This window comes from Homo sapiens, chromosome 10, assembly GCF_000001405.40.
Source record: "Homo sapiens chromosome 10, GRCh38.p14 Primary Assembly".
Lineage (NCBI taxonomy): Eukaryota > Metazoa > Chordata > Mammalia > Primates > Hominidae > Homo > Homo sapiens.
In genome coordinates, this window is record NC_000010.11 from 116,941,390 (window position 1) to 116,959,717 (window position 18,328).

General features: G+C 37.0%; 1 protein-coding gene across 5 annotated transcripts in view; it reads right to left on the minus strand.

The window, feature by feature from the left end:
• The window catches only part of SHTN1 (shootin 1), a 245,110-nt gene that overhangs the window by 59,913 nt on the left and 166,869 nt on the right, over nt 1–18,328 (minus strand). For all 5 annotated transcript variants that reach the window (NM_001258298.2, NM_018330.7, NM_001127211.3 and 2 more), the window contains 4 exons: nt 12,653–12,821; nt 10,520–10,617; nt 7,527–7,608; nt 3,535–3,629 (listed from right to left, as the gene is read on the minus strand). In NM_001258298.2, the coding sequence (NP_001245227.1) occupies nt 3,535–3,629; nt 7,527–7,608; nt 10,520–10,617; nt 12,653–12,821 (444 nt within the window). The remainder of the gene's footprint in view (nt 1–3,534; nt 3,630–7,526; nt 7,609–10,519; nt 10,618–12,652; nt 12,822–18,328) is intronic.

The window sequence follows — 18,328 nt, forward strand, 5'->3', positions numbered from 1 at the left end:
TCAAATCCTCACAACTTTACATGATTGAAAATAATATTGATTTCTATTTACCTGTTATTTCTTTTCCTTAACACTCTACCCAATTTGGCCAGTGAGTGATTCCAAGTATGAAATGTTTTTGTAAACTCTGAAATCTGGCCTACCAATTTTATAATAGAGCTTCACCTTTTCAGATTTTTAACAGCATTTTAAAATTTACATTATAACTTAACTGAAAGCTCTGAACTGCAAAATGATTTGCTAAAGCCCTCATATTAGTTTGTTCAACAACTTCACCCATCATGTAACAGAAAAAGTCAGCAAATAAAACTCAGGACAAAAATATTTTCCATCAACCTCCATGTGGCAAGACCACAGCTTTAATGATTTATACAATCCTTAAGCTCTTGATCAGTATCGACTTCCACATCAAAGTCAAGTCATGAATACAGTATACTAAAACACTAACATTTTCTTCCCAGTATGTCTTCCTATGAAAGGGAAAAAAAGGTCAGAAGCTTTCCTTCTTTGCCTAGGGATTTATGAAAAGCCTACAAAACTACGACAGGGTTCTTCTGCAGAATTAAAACACATTACAAAGTCAAACAGGTAAATAAACAATTGCATATACATGAAACCCACATTCTTCTTCCATTTGTGTGAGAGTGAGAGGTATAGAGACTGCAGTGAGGAAGAGTATGTGCATGTACACTTGGCTGGAGAAGGGTGAGATGCAGCTTCAGCATTCTAAGAAAGAGTAATCAATATTTCATCACAGTATCTTAAACTTCAGACCAGTGATTTAATTAAAATGAATTGTTTTGGGTGACCATTATGATTACAGTAATTTTTTTTTTTTTTTGAGATGGAGTCTCGCTCTGGCACCCAGGCTGGAGTGCAGTGGCACAATCTCGGCTCACTGCAACCTCTGCCTCTCAGGTTCAAGTGATTCTCGTGCCTCAGCCTCCCAAGTAGCTGGGACTACAGGTGCCTGCCACCATGCCTGGCTAATCTGTGTATTTTTAGTAGAGATGGGGTTTCACTATGTTGGCCAGGTTGGTCTTGAACTCCTGGCCTCAATTGATCCCCCCGCCTCGGCCTCCCAAAGTGCTTGGATTACAGACGTGAGCCACCATGCCTGGTCAAAAAATTTAATTATGTTGAAGAAATTTAAAATTTTAATATAGTTATGAAGACAACTGATAGTTTTCTTGTTGAGGGGGATTAAGTTTTTGGTTTTGTTTTTTAAATGAACTAGCGGGAGTTAAGAATGGGGGGTAACTTTCAATTTTTATTTTATACATTTAGAAAATATTTGTATCTTTGTGCAAGGCACACATACTCCTTTTTAATTAAAAATATAAAGTAAATTAACCTTAAAAATTGATTTCTAAGGCTCTAGACTATAAGCTCCAAGAGGGTAGGGCTCACATTTGCTTTCTTCACCACTGGATTCCCAATGTCAGCACAGTGTCTGGCACAGTAAGATGTTTGCTGCATGCCCTAAGTGGTAAGTAAAATGCAAAAGAATGGGACTCTGTTGTTAAACTAAGTTATGTGTCTTTGTGCAGTACTTACCTGTTGAAAACCTGAGAATGCATAAACTTTGTAAAAAGGAAAATATACTAGTTCCAACGTGGTGCTATTTTTTAAAAAAAAGTTTTCTTCTCACTATTGTGTAGATTGAATCTAGATATTGTAAAATTGTTGAGTGCCACTGCAAATATTTATGCTGCCAATAACGTAAGTACCATTGCTCTTGCTTTCTTTCTCTCCTCAAACTTCTACCTTCTCATTCTGGGTTAACATGTCAGCATTATTGTTTCCACCAACCACTAAGACTGAAGACCAGGTGAACAGCAGAGTCAATCATTCATTTTTGTCTTCTTACTGCAACCTTGCTTCTTCCATCTGTCTTCTCTGCTACCACATGGCCTTCAAGTTTTTCTTTGAGCTGCTTTGTATTCTAACATCATTGTGCAAACAACAGATGGAAAACTGAACATGTCTTGAAATGAGACCTGCTATTCAGGTCAAAATCAGCCGACCTTTCCAGTTTTGCAATAAAGGCATCTTCACATTATCCCTGCTTCCCCTCCCCCTCCACTGTTTATTTCACTGCATTATTTATATTGCTCCAACGTTTTCCAGAGAGCTCTGACACACTTCAATTCTTTTTTCTTTCTTCCAAGTAATAAGAGAAAAATATTTACTCACCTTTCATTAAACTCTCTAAATAAAACGAATCATAATATTTCAAATCAGATCTACTTGGCCTAAACCTTCGGTAGAGTTCACTGCTAGCACAGCTATGCTCAAGCACAGAAAGACCCCCACAAAACCATCATTGGATTTTCAAATGTCATTCCCCTAATGCCATGCTTTGTCTTCCTTCTATGCCTTGGATACCTCTACCTAGGACTGTTTTACATTTCCTGAGCTATCTTCCTTCAACCTACAGTATGCACACAAATTCAAACTACACCCACAGGATGGAGATCTCATTGCAGACCAGCTTTTGAGTTTAGCCCATTGGTGAACTCCTCATCCCCCTGGATGAGCCCCAGGGCCATGGAAGACCCAACGACTGCATGTCAACAGGTAAGCCGGAACAAGAGATTCAAAGCTGATCTCTAACATAAGAGGAAGATCAGTAGGCTGGTGAAACGCTGAGATAATGAATGTACTACATGGCAGTGTTCCACAGCCAGTGGAAGAACTTCCTGGCATAATGACAGCACTGCACAATGGCTGAAGAGAAATACTGATACCATAATACTGTTATCTGAGATGGTATATGGAGATACATCCCAGATTTTAAGCCTATTTGAAATGTACAGGCATCTTGTACCCAAGTTGGACTTTCCATCACAAGTCATGGGTTGTCTCCAAATGCAATTCCTTTCCCTTACATAGCATTTTATAGTTTATACAACACTTTTTTTAAATTTTGCCATTAAAATCCACTTGGTCAGGTCTGTATTATTGTCCATTTTACAGATGGTAAAAGTGAAGCCCTGAGAGGCTGAAGAATTGCTCAGAGGTCATACACTACTACAACTAGTAACTGACATGGCCAAAATTTGAGCCCAGATCTTTTGACAATGAACTTGATACTATTCTATATCTGCCTCCCTAAACCAGCAGATCCTTAATTCAAACTGGTAAGTTCTTATTCAACCTCAAGAATTTGTCTGATATGTCGTCTGCAAGGTCCCTTACAAAACAAAAATTCAAAAGGTTTTTACGGCTGGGCACGGTGGCTCACTTTGGGAGCACTTTGGGAGGCCAAGGCGAGCAGATCACGAGATAAGGAGATCAAGACCATCCTGGTCAACATGGTGAAACCCCATCTCTAATAAAAATACAAAAATTAGCTGGGCACGGTGGCGTGTGCCTGTAATCCCAGCTACTCGGGGGGCTGAGGCATGAGAATCGCTTGAATCAGGGAGTCGGAGGTTGCAGTGAGCCGAGATTGCGCCACTGCACTCCAGCCTGGTGACAGAGCGAGACTCTGTCTCAAGAAAAAAAATAAGATTTTTACAAGATACCCACCTCTTGTGCAAATGACTCTGCTTTCTTTCGAAGGTCCTTCTCCAGCTCCAGGTTTACTTGCATCTCCTCATACTCTTCTACAGCTAACATGGACACTTAAGAAGATAAAGGAAAAAAAAAACCCAGACAATAAGTCACACAAATAATCAGGAATATGGATGAAAAACAGTGTTGAAAAGATTTTTCATACCAGCATACAGGTACCCTCATGCATTCCTGGTTGGCATACAAACTGATAAAACCTTTTTGGAGAGCAACTTGGCAACGTGAATCAAAAATCTAAAACTATTCATACACTTTGAATAATCCCACTTCCAGGAATGCATATGCTAAGATTGTAACACATGAGCATATACAGACATTTGGTTGCAAGGATGCTCTCTACCTCATTGCTGATAAAAGTGAAATGACATAATACTCTAACACAGAAGAATGAGTAAATTGTAGTACAAGAAATATTATTCTGCCATCAAAATTATATTGTAGAAGCATACTTAGTAAATGGAAAGACATCTGTGATGTATTTTTAAAAATAGATTGCAAAAATTAGTGCAAAGTGAATTCATTTTTGTTCTTTAAAAGCCACAGATAAAGCACATCAACAGCCATTTCACAGAATAGAAAATATACAAAAGGCCAATAAACATGTGGAAAGATGCTCATCTTCATTAGGAATCAAGGAAATGCAGAGTAAAAACACTTCTTACACCCATCCAAGAGGCAACTGGTAAAAATTTTAAAGCATGGTTTTATTAAATTTGGTATGCAGTGAAAAAAAACTGAAGATAAAATTTGACATTTGGCATGTGTCTTAAAGCAACTCTTGGACATGTGCACCAGATGACATGTCTAACATTTTTTATAACAGCATGACTCAGAATAGCAGAAATATGGAAACAGCCCAAAGTCTACCAATAGGATACTACTTAAAATAATTTTAGTGTAGTCATCTAATGGAATAGTATATAGCAGTGAAAACAAACATACCACAGCTATGCCTGTCCACATGCATGAATCTCACAAACACAAAAAGTTGCAGAAGGTTACAGGAAAAATGATTCCATTTACATAGAGTTCAAAAATATGCAAAATTAAACAATGCTGTTTAGAGATATAGACATATTTGGCAAAACTACAAATAAAAGAAAGGAAATAATAAAAATTCAAGGGAGGGGTAAGAGTAGAGAGGGATGTTCATGGGTTTGTAAGGTACCAGCAAGTATAAAGAGATTCCTTTTACTGGTATTTCCTCTGTCTTCCATATATATATAAATATATATATAAACATATTTAACAAAACATTTAATATGTATATATGTAGAGAGAGTTTTTTTTAAGATTGGAAGAATATACACTAAAATGGTACTAGTGCTTATCTCTGGATTGTAAAGGTTGAGATTTTTTTCTTTCCTTACATGAATCTAAATTTTCCACCAAAAAAAGTATACTACCTGAATATATACATTTTTATGTATAAAAATATATGTATTATATATAATATTAAATGTAAATAAATGTATAAATTATGTATATGTATATACATATGTATAAAATGTAAATATTTTATATATAAATATATAAAATGATTTATATATAAATATATAAAATGATTTATATATAAATATATAAAATGATTTATATATAAATATATAAAATGATTTATATATAAATATATAAAATGATTTATATATAAATATATAAAATGATTTATATATAAATATATAAAATGATTTATATATAAATATATAAAATGATTTATATATATAATATATATATATGTTTTATTTATTTATTTATTTATTTTTTGAGAGATGGAGTCTCACTATGTCTGTCGCCCAGGCTGGAAGGCAGTGGTGCAATCTTGGTTCACTGCAACCTCCGCCTCCTAGGTTCAAGTGATTCTCCTGCCTCAGCCTCCTGAGTAGCTGGGATTACAGGCAGGTGCGTGCCACCATATCTGGCTAATTTTTGTATTTCAGTAGAGACGAGGTTTTACCATGTTGGCCAGGCTGGTCTCAAACTCCTGATCTCAAGTAATCCGCCCACCTCAGCCTCCCAAAGTGCTGGGATTACAGGTGTGAGCCACCGCGCCTGGACATATAAGTTATTTTTAAGTGTTCTCCATATTTACAAAGGAGAGAAACAGCCTTAGATGCATTCAGAACCAAAGAATCAGAGCTTTGTACCAAGGAGTTACTGCAAGACCGAAAGCTTCAAAAGGTCCTGTCAAATAAAAGTAATATAAATTCTTTGCTATTTTCAACATTCAGTGGCCTATTTTGTTAAATAGTGATAATGACAGGACAGAGGGAGTGACGATACCATTAGATATTAGGCACAAGCTGGGCAGACAGCACACTGTCCATCCACTTCTGGTGAGTCACCTCCACCCTGAGCTGAGTCATACCAACAAAATCTTTCAAAAGGCTCTCTTAACAGCTGCCTTCACACACTGCTCCACCAGGGCACTTCAATCCTAACTGACTTAAGGACTGGTTTGCTGCGTAATGACATAGAATTTCAAACTCTGTACTCAATCTACAGCCTCTTCAGATGAAAGACTAATAAGTAAAGCAATAAGAGTGGTGATTTTTTGGTGTGAATTATAGGTCCCTGAGAGCTAAATGATTTTCAAGCCTATTTAAACAAGAAATTTCATGAAGAAAACAAAGAACACTATGACGATCTGAAGCCCAGGCAAGATAATTGACTCTCTTTTCTATGTCCAGAACACTATAATAAAAAGGGAATTTTCACGTGTCCTGGCCCTTCTGACTTGGAATCTGAAAGAAATCAGGTTGGTCCTAGTCAGGTATTTATTTATATAATTTTTCTCTCTTCCTAGACAGGGGACTCTCTGAAGGCAAGATCTACATGATTAATCCTTGCAGAACCCTTTTCCTAGCACAGTGAATCAAGACTGAAAATTCTACACCATTTCTATCTTTAAATACAGAAAGACTTGGAGAAATGTTACAATCCAGCATATTGCCCACATTTAACTACAAGGTCCTTTATTTACAAAAAAAATTCCCAGTTGATGAATCACAAAAAGATTGACAGCTACCACCAATAACAATAGGGAAGGCCCTGGGTCGCAAAGGTTTCCTGTTAGTGTTGCAGCTTCTAAACAAGGAAAGAGAGTGACTGAGGGAAAAAGAGAGAACAGAAAGTATATTAAGTTCTTCTTACCACTTCCAGAATTATTTTTGCAGAACTACACTTTGGCATCACTTCCTTGTCTTAAACTGGGAGATACATGAAACAGCCCCGATGAGAGCTGATGCTGTGTTTTATAACTAGATGGATAAAGTCACTGTTGCCCAAAGTACACAAAGTTTTCTCTGGATATAGCCACTGGAGACACTTCCCTCTCACCAGGAGAGCAGGTCTGCTTTTCCTGATCATTAGGTTCATTTTCATGTGATTCATTTAAATGATCATCAATCTCTTATTGCACTGACTGTCAGACAGCTCAGAACCAGATTTCAAACACACAGGCAGGAAATGTGCAAGACCTCAGAACAAGTATGCACTTTGTATACCAATCTAACTCTTACTTTCCTTTATCCCTTTTTCCACATCCTCTTAATTTAAAATTTCATCACATAATGTTACATGTTTTATGTAGACAGCCTAACCTCTTCTGGATTGAGATTTACTAAATAACCTACCAAACATATAAATGCTGAGGGGAGAGCTAAAAAGGCCATGATCCCTGGATATATGTAAGACAGAAATAGTATTTCGGTTTGAAGTTTCAAAATGAGTGGGTTCCTTGTTCCTCAAGTGAAATCACTTTTAGATGTCCCCAGACTCTAAGTTGGGTAATAAAACAATGGAAATGGGAGAGACACAATGCTAGAAAATCACAATATAGGAGAAGATTTTATTTACAGTCATATTTAGGCACAGGTGTAAAATGACACACAATATATGCAAACAGAACACACCGCATACGTATTTGAGAAAAAAAGACTGGACAGACTTACCTCTATTGCATTTTTCTAAGACTTTTCTCTGTTCAAGAACTTCTGAATTTAAAACAGTCTTTTCTTGTTTAACTTTATTTACCTAAAAATGTGAAATTTTGAGGGGAGAAAACACCAAAAATTGTAAAACAGGACATATGGCAATGTGTGATACTCAATTGCTGTTCAACTTTCAACATGAAGTTACAATTTAAAGCAGAAATTGGTTTCAATGTGTTAGGACTTTTTATTAAAGCTCTTCTTTAAAGCTTCAAGGATAGCTATTTAAGTTAGGATGTATACCTGGTACAGAACTTATTTATATATTCCAGTTGGCACTGGCACCTAAACATAACAGTATGCTAGCCATCCAATGTATATGATACATATTTTTTTAATTAAAAAAAAACAAAGAATATAGAGATGGGGTCTCCTATGTTGCCGAGGCTGGTCTCGAACTCCTGGGCTCAAGCAATCCTCCTGCTTCAGCCTCCCGAAGTGCTGGGATTACAGGCGTGAGCCACCATACCCAGCCATGATTCATATTTTTAATGCAAAAATCCAACTAAAGATCACCCAGAAAATACAAGAATCATTTAGTCAAGATCCGATACTCAATTTTGGTATTCATTTTAAATGTTGATTAGCATTAGGAGATATACCTAATGTAAATGACAAGTTAATGGGTGCAGCACACCAACATGGCACATGTATACATATGTAACAAACCTGCACATTGTGCACATGTGCCCTAGAACTTAAAGTATAATAATTTAAATAAAATACAATAAAATAAAAATGCTGATTATTTTTGACTTAAGTAAGATGAACATGAACTTTTAAAATAAGACTTTGAACTCTGATGACTCTTGGCTTAAATAAAACACATATAAATACTCCCACAAAAATTTAAATTTCTGAAGTAACTTTTGATGTCTATCAACGAAAGAGAATACTATAGAAAAGTTTTTTTAAAAAAAAAGAACATAAAGTAAAGCTACATATATCAAGGTAGAAGATAAATCTCAAATATATTGAATTTAGAAAGCAGGCATGTTTATAATATTTAAAAACACTCAAAATACTATGTATTGTAGTGAACATGTAAATATATGCACTGACATGATAAACACCAAGTTCAGAATAACAGTTGTTTAGGGAAACTGGGCAGGGAGCAAGGAGTATGCAACCAGAAAGAGTTACACCAGGGCTTTCATCACCATGCTAATATTCTGTGAATTAAGTTGGGTAGCAGGTATATGGATGTTCATTAAAAATAATTTTTTTAGAGACAGGGTCTCAGTCTGTCACTCAGGCTGGAGGGTGGTAATACGATCATAGCTCATTGCAGCCTGGAACTCCTGGGTTCAAGCAATCCTCCCACCTCAGCCCTCTGAGTAGCTGGGACTACAGGCACATGCCACCATGCCTGGCTAATATTTTTAAAAATTTTTTTGAGAGACGAGGTCTTGCTAGGAGGTCTTGCTGATCTCCAACTCCTGGGCTCAAGTGATCCTCCTGCCTCGGCCTCCCAAAGTGCTAGGATTACAGGCGTGAGCCACTGAACTCAGCCCCATTATTTTGTTCATTATGCCTTCTCAGATGTCTGAAATAGCCATAATAAAAATAATTGTTGAATTGTCTTCCAATAATACCTCTAAGTGGGAAGCGAGAGAATCATCAGTAAATAATCACAACTGAGGAACAGAGCACACTAAGAAACAAAGATAATGGTCCTGAAAGTGGCTCTGAATCCATCAGCACCTCCAGATAATCTATTAACTGGTTCTTTTAGTGTAGGCTTTATTTTTGGTTTTGGTTTAAATTAGTAACTGGTACACATTGTCCAACGGTAAGGTCCTTTCCAAAATATCATCTTCCTTCTTCCCATTCGTTACAATGTTTTGCCACAATAATAAAAGGAGCTCAGGCTGGGAAGTTGGCAGACACTGCTTTCCAACCTTTTTTACATCATGGCCTCCAAGAAAATGACAATATGTGTGTGCAAACTGAGGTAACTGGATGAGGCTGCTCACTGACAGGATCAATACGTTGGCATGCTCATAAGTCACTTTATCAAGCTGCAGTTGGCACATCAGTTGGGAAGTGCTGGGCTACAGAATCTAAGAACCACTGATACAAATTAAATCCAGAATCAAGACTGTGAAGGCAAATCCTTGAAGCCTCGTGCAAATAAAAGGCAATTGTGAGGGTCTTGTTCTGAAAGACAGTTCAAAAGGAAAAAGAGGCCAGGGCAGCGGCTTGCATTGGTGGTCCCAGCACTTTGGGAGGCCAAGGTGGGAAGATCATTCAAGTCCAGGAGTTCAAGGTAAGCCTGGGAAATACAGGAACCCACATCTCTATAAAAATTTTTAAAAATCAGGCAGGCGTGGTGACGCATGCCTGTACTCTCAGCTATTTGGGAGGCTGAGGCAGGAGGATCATTTGAGCCTGGGAGGTTGAGGCGGCAGTGAGCTGTGATCATGCCACTGCACTCCAGCCTGAGTGTGACAGAGTTAGGTCTTGTCTCAAACAAAACAAAACACCAGAAAAGAAAGATTCTGTAAACAACCACTTGAACCCATCCTACCACCTATCATAAATGCCTGTGTTGGAGATGCACAGAGGGACAGTCCTTCCCAATTGAACCAGTCATTCACCGGAAAAGCAAAACATGCTCTTCTTTCTCTACCAGCAGCAATAAAATATATGACTTGAAATAGTAGCTACTATTCTTACAAATTTGCCTTACATAGCAAAAACTGGGGGAACAACAGGAAACATGTCCATGCTATTTCAGAATTTTATTTATTAAGCTAGCTAGTGGGTACATGAATCTTCATCATCTTATTTCCTCTACCTTTTTTTATGTCTGAAATTGAGGAGAGAAGATTAAAATTGGTACATGGTTCTCATGTTAGAAATTGGCTTATAATATTAAGTTCTTAACTTAGCAAATCCCCAAACACCTTGAAAATGCTAAAGCCCTTGCCTTTCAGGCCTGAGATACATACTTCTTCAATTACTTCTACGAGTTTGCTCTTGAGATTTTCCAGCTCAATGGCTAAAATCTTCTTTTCCTCCTGAACAGATACAATTTGATCTCGAAGTTCTGCATTTTTAAAGAAAAAAAATATATAAATAAACTTATTTTTAAAATAAGAAATCAATCTGGTCAAAAGAATTGAAAATGCCAGTCCATGTGCAGCTTATGGTCAAGATTATTTAACAATTAAAAAGAAATGAAGAACCAAAGGACAATGAGAATCTCATTTGCGTGGCCCTCCCCAAAATAGCCATGGATATTAACAATTTTATATCAGGCAACCTCACTACATTAAATGTACCAGATCATGTTTTCTTTGCATTCTATCAAAACCACATTCTAGAAAACTATCTAGCATTTTGGAAGTAAAATTTTTTAAGTTTTCAGCAAAACAAATTAAGGTGTAGTACTAATTTCTTTTTTATTTCATAATGCCATGGGCTGTTATCACAATAAAATATAAACAATTGGGATGTTAATAATTTGGATATTTTGATTAGAAGTAAAAGATCCTGACTTGCTGCCAATTTATAGTCCTTAGACATTATTTGAACTGATTCAAAATATAACTATTTGAAAGAAGGGTTAATTCTAGTAATTTTCTCTCTAGAGTCATGGGTGTTTTGTTTTTAAATTTATTTCATAGTTTTATTATTAGGATTCAATGAAAAGTGTGTCACTAGAATGAGAGTATTATCAACTGTAAGCGCAAAAGCTTCTGGTGTTAAAGTTACTTCTGTCACTCAAATGTTTGAAAATACACATAGATTAGCACAGACTACTCAAATTCATATTCTGGCCTACTGTTTTGTCACTTAGGTTTTAACTGCCTTTAATTTCTTACTGTTTTCCAAGTGCAATAAAGAATATGTTATGTGGTTATTTGTAAATTAAATCAAACTTTTTACATAAACTCAGCTTGGAGAAGTTCTCAGAGACTTATTTCTGAATCACTTTCTCCATTTGCTGGCTAATCCAGAAAGAAGAACATGAAACCATATTGTTCAAGCTCGAACAGAAAGGAGAATAATGAGCAAAGGGAACTCCTTTAAACTTCCTCTCCCTCCCTACCAACATGAATTCTATTTTGTGTTAGCTTGAGGGGTTGAAGAGTAGGTAAAGATGGTGTCTGTAACATCCTTTCTTCTTTATACTTCCAGTTGAAATTTTATCTACCAAACAAATAAATGAATATTGCTTTTGACCTGTGTACTAAATTAAAATGTTCCAATAGTTACTGAGCCAGAACTGCTTTCCTACATCTTTAAATAAACATGTGTATGAGTAAAATGAATGTGCATTCAGTAGATGTATCATATGATCTTGCCTTACAACACTACTTGTTAACCAACAAAAAGGGGTGTCGCTAAATATATTTTTATTCATTGTTTCTTTCATTTAACAAAAATATCTTGACATATAGTACATATCCTTAAGGTTATAGTATAACTGGCTGCTTCCATTGAGACACTTTCAAAAGTGCTTAATTCCAAACAAGAAAGTAACTCATAAAGCACAATTGTTATATACCCTATGGTGATTTGGAGATATAAATAAATGATGTGGGAAGCTTTCAAAATACTGATGCCTAGGTCCTACCCCATCCAAAATTCTGATTTAATTGGCCTATGGTGTAGCAAAATTTTGGATAGGGTAGGACCCAGGCATCAGTTTTGTGTTTTGTTTTTTTTTTTTTTTTTTTTTTGAGACAGAGTCTCGCTCTGTCGCTCAGGCTGGAGTGCAACGGCGCAATCTCGGCTCACTGCAACCTCTGCCTCCTGGGTTCAAGTGATTCTCCCGCCTCAGCCTCCCAAGTAGCTGGGATTACAGGCACCTGCCACCACGCCCAGCTAATTTTTGTATTTTTTAGTAGAGACCGGGTTTCACCAGGTTGGCCAAGTTGGTCTCCAACTCCTGACCTCAGGTGATCCACCCGCCTTGGCCTCCCAAAGTGCTAGGATTACAGGCGTGAGCCACCACGCCCTGCCTAGGCATCAGTATTTTGAAAGCTTCCCACATGATTCTGATGTGCAGTCAGGGTTCAGAAGCACTATCATAACGGGGTAAAAAATATGCTCAATAATTAAGCAAAGAGTTCTACCTTTAATTTGCTTCTGACACTGTACTGAGACACAAGTCTCGGCGGCACCGTCTGTGTCTGTAGTCGAATCTTCATCATCAATGTTTATCTCTTCAGTTATTACATCTGGTCCCAGCTTGGCCATGTACAACATGCTGATTCTTTTCAACGTTTTATTTTCTTTATTTAGCTAAGACAAAATATAAAAACAGTTATTTTAAAAGCAGCCAAATGAGTATCTTGGATTTTTAAACAATAGACAAATTAAGTATATTTTTGTCTTACATATTCATCAACACTCACAGCAGGACATAACAATTAGTGGATTCATTAAATAAGGTTTTATATTAAATTTATTTCTTTAACCAAGATCTGATGTCTGGATTACAGCCAGCAGCAAGTGGAAATGCTAGTTGTAACTGATGAGAAATATAAGGAACTAAGATAAAACACCAGTACAGATTAAATAAAATTCTGATTTATAGTCATTAATAGTCTTAAAAAAGGCACTTTATTTCAAGCAAATCTTCTGCGTGCTGTGGTGCTGAGAACACCTTTTAAATGTCTGTTTGCCTAACATCTCTCTTTTCTGGACATTACCACTTTCCATTGTTCCACATGATTTCAATGGGAGTGCCATGCTCTCCCAAGCACACCCCATCCCTTTGGCCACAGCGAATTAGTCCAGGGATTAAACACATGACCCAAGTGTGACCAGTCAGATCCCCTCGCTAGAAATTTGGAGGCTGGAACAGAGCAATGAGTTTCTTTCCATGTGCCTGGACAGGAGCTGCTGGTAACCACATTCCACTATAGGATCAAGGAAAAGAGGAAGGTAGTTTTTAGAAAAGCTAAAACTGAAGCTGATGTGTAGAGAAAGGAAGAGAAAAGCAACAGAGAAAGGGTTTCCCACCAGACTCAAGCCCCAGACTCCAGTCCATTCCTAAACTGCTCCTGTCTCAGAGATTCTATGGAAGTCTCTGATATTTCTAACAGATCCCACATCATTTTCTTTTCTTGTTTAAACTAGTTCAAGATGTTGTTTCTACTATCTCTATTAAAAGAGTTCTACTTCACAGCAAAAAAAAAAAAAAAAAAAAGGAATCCTACTTTGTTAATGTATTTTTTATTCCCGGACAGGGAAATGAGTTGGTTTTTTAACTTCAGTTATTCAACTATTATCACCTTCTTTAGCTAATGTGTTTATGTACAAGAAAATTTAGGACAAAGCACACACAAAGACTAAGGATGTTCCAATGTCCACAGAAGTACAATATGGTTTTGCTCATATTTTCTCTTCCCAAGACTAAAAAATAAACAGTTTTCCTTAATTTGCGCACATCAAAGTAATCAGTAGATTATTTTCCCTACTATAAAATGTAAGTTATAGAAATGCAAATACATTTCCTTTACTAGAGCCCTTGACCAGGAAGACATGCTCTGAATTTAATAATTGATATTGGAAACAAATGAACATAGTTCATTGGAAAGATAACTACCTTTCCTCACTGTAAACCTGACACTAGAATAAGATATTTAGCATAGCACTGGTCTGACTTTGCTCTTTCATTTGTGATCATAATTAGGGTTCCTCAGGGTTTCTCATAGAGAAAGCCCAGCCCACTTTAATCTGGGAGATCTGATTTCTACCCCAATAATATGGAACCTAAAGTGGCATGGTCTGGAGCACGAGAGGTTTGTCTGACCTCTTTGGAGAATCAGGAAGAATCTCTAAGAAATGGTTATGAACTCTTCCATGGATTCTTCCTGGAAGACTGGCAAGCTCTATTCAGGAAATCAGACACAACCCTTTATCCTCAGTCCCAGTCTCCAACTCTAGCTTCTGTCTGCACACATTACATTAGGAGATCAAGATAAAAGATGAGGCCCATCATTTCCCAACACCTCTTCCTTAAGTTGGAAAATTCAGATAAAAACTGTTGTGGGTTCTTTAAACCATGAATGCTACAGCATGGCACACGAAGCTCAAGGACCCTCACTTGTCAATTCTCAAACTATCCCATCTTTTAGGAATGTCAGAAGAAAACATCAATTTAAGGAAAAAGTGAAGACATTTAAGACTTAATTTCTGGTTCTGTATCCTAATATTTAAACTAATGGTTCTCAACTCTGGCCATCAGAATCTCTGGAGAGCTTTTTAAAAACCTCAATGCTTAGGCGCTATGCCATACCCAAATCTCTGGCAGTGAAGCCCAGCATAGCCCTTTTTCAGTTTCCCAGGTGATTCTAATGTACATCAACACTAAGAATCATTGATGTAAAGAAACGCATTGCTTTAGTATACAACCCAGCTCTGCAATAAAATTCCATCTCTGCCTCTACAACTAACCTAATCCTTATGTTTCAGTTTTCTCATCAGTAAACTAAGAATTAAGATAGTCTGTATCCCACAATATGATGACTAAATGAGACATTATATATAAAGTATTTAATATAGTAACTGCCACACAGTAAAACTTCAGTGTTAGTTATTCATAGTAAGAAGAGGTTTAGTTTGTGTCTAATTATCCTTTGGAAATCATTTATCAGCTAGTTTTCTTCAAAGTATTCATTTAGGCATTTTCTCCTTCCTCCAGGATACTCAAGAAACTACTAGTTTCTGTCATCTAGTGCTTAATATATTACTTCTTAGACAACCACTACAATAATACCTTAGCAACATCATAGCTAACAGTTCTGCCCTCAAAAGGGTTTAATGCCCCTATCAAACCAGGCACCAAAATCCACCAGTTTGTCTGCAATACAATTACTCTACTTAACAAAGTCACCAGCTCAAGAAAAAAAAGCCAATCAGAAAATTTCATAATCCTTCTCTGAAACCCCATTTTCGCATTTTGAAAGAAGAAATGTAAGATTTATATATATGAGGGTTTTTTTTGTTTTGTTTTTTTGGAGATGGGTTCTTGCTCTGTCACCCAGGTTAGAGTGCAGTGGTATGATCATAGCTCACCACAGCCTCAAAGTCTCAAACTCCTGAGCTCAAGTGACCCTCCCACCTTGTCCTTCCAAAGCACTGGGATTACAGGAGTGAGCCACCACACCCGGCCTAGACATGAGGTCTTATGTGCATACTATTTGAACATTTTTGAGAATTCTGAATTCACAAATTTTGGCTAAGTAATTTCATTGTAGCTATTCATCAAGCTATAGGTTAATTGCATGCTACTTGTTGTTTGGAACCCCTCTATGTCTAAGGCAAAAATATATCTTTTTACTTTTTTTTTTTTTTTTTTGAGATGGAGTCTCTCTGTCACCAGGTTGGAGTAGAGCTGCGTGATTTCAGCTCACTGCAACCTCTGACTCCCTGGTTCAAGCGATTCTCCTGCCTCAGCCTCCCGAGTAACTGCGATTACAGGCACACACCACCACGCCCAGCTAAGCTTTGCATTTTTAGTAGAGACGGGGTTTCACCATGTTTGCCAGGATGGTCTCAATCTCCTGACCTCAGGTGATCTGCCCACCTCAGCCTCCCAAAGTGCTGGGATTACAGGCGTGAGCCACCGTGCCCAGCCAAAAATATATCTTTTATAACCCTACAGTAACAGAACCTACTATTATATTCAAATGTAAATAGGGTTTTTATATTGTCCAGTTTAGTGGCTATTTAAAGGTACAAAACAAGCAAGTTTAATGGCTTTGGATCATATGACTTAAATAACTGGTCCACATTTATCAGTTTAATCTACACATTTTAGCAAAGCAAAGTATCCATACTTGCTTCTAAGAAAATATGAGGAACTGGGCGCAGTGGCTCACGCCTGTAATCCCAGCACTTTGGGAGGCTAAGGCGGGCAGGTCACCTGAGGTCAGGAGTTTGAGACCAGCCTGGTCAACACAGTGAAACACTGTCTCTACTAAAAACACAGAAATTAACTGGGTGTGGTGGCACATGCCTGTAATCCCAGCTACTCGGGAGACTGAGGCAGGAGAATTGCTTGAATCTGGGAGGTGGAGGTTGCAGTGAGCCAAGATGGCATCACGGCACTCCAGCCTGGACAACAGAGCAGGACTCCATTTCAAAAAGAAAAAAAAGAAAATTACGAGGTCAAGCTGCATCATCAGAATTAAACATTCCATTTGTCATTAATTTGATGGCAAAAATTTAGAAAAATAAGAATTTATAGAAACTTTGCTCTCAGGAAAAAAAATGAGCATTTTTGAAAGCCTCCTTTCAAAAATGACAATTGATACTTAAATCAGAATGAAGTCACACATATAATGAAGTTTCCACATTTTGCATTCAAAGCAGTCTTTCACAACAAACAAGCACATTTATAGTATTTGATTTAATCCATTTTTTAAATTTTTTTCTAGGCCCCATGAGTTCATACTATATCTTCAAAAATAAACTATATGTTCATTTTAAAAAAGGGTTTTTAAAGAACAGGCAACAAACAGTGTTAGGTAAGGATCCTATTATTAAGACTTAATTGTAAAAATGAGCTTAGAGATTAGGTAACACTGGTTCGTAACGAGCAATGAATATAACAGTCACCAGGCAGCTTTTCTACATGCACATGCCTGGGCCACACATCTAGAGCCAATGGATCTGGGGTATTATGATGAAGCCAACCATGGTCCATCCTGGCATTTAGAGCAAGACAACTGTAGCTCAGAGAGGTGAGTTCTCTTGCCCAAAAACACCTATTAAATAAAAGGGGAGACAGAATAAAGTAATTTTTTAAAAGGGGCCATATGCAAATAAATTATTAACTCCAGTCCTAACTCTAGTCCATCATGTCATTTAAGATGAGATACTACACTCCAGAGAACAAAATTAACTTGTCCAAAATCACATATGCCCAAAATTACATAACCAGGAACAAAACCTGTATATACTGTCCCACAAACCAGTGCCTTCCATAAACTCTGCCAATCCTGAAAGGTAGCCAGTATCCTCACTCTGGATGTGCTATGACAACAGGAATACTTGTTAATAACAAGAAAAAATAGAGAGTATATCCTTAGACACTAGAAGATTCAGAGCAGCTAGCAGGCTCCAAATGTACTTTTTCTCTACTTATTCCAAAGAAAGAAATTCAAAAATGAAAATAGAATTCACACAACATTACGGACTAGTGAACTCTAGGAATGTGCCGCAGAGTAAAAATGATGTGAGAATACCCATGTTATCATTTTTTAAAAAGTGTTTTTAAAGTGTATTGCTGTGTATTCTTCAGATGAATAACAGGAGAGAAGTTACATACCCAAATTTATATTCTTAGTTAGGTCCTGATTAAATATCTTATGAATTCTAATGTAGTGTTGTTATGCAAACAATTAAGCAAATACCTCTAGGAAGCACACTGTTAATGCATACAAATTACATTTATTTATGTATTTATTGAGAGTAGGATTTCAGTCACATCCAAAGAAATTTTCGGAGGTGGGTGATGGAGGGGAGGGAAAAGAAACACAACCAGTATTACTAATGAAATTTGGTTGAAAATTGCTGTAATCCACTTTCTGATGAAGTGGTTCAGATGCATTTTACCCAACCCAAAATACATAAGACAGAGATAAAAAAAACATTCTTTAATAATAATGTACTTCTGATGAGATAGAATGTAGAAAATTACACACTTGGTAAATTCATCAGCAAGAGGCAATCAGTGGAACACTGGAGGTCACCTTCAGCATGCCCTCGCTTTGCTTTCATAAATAATCACCTGAAAT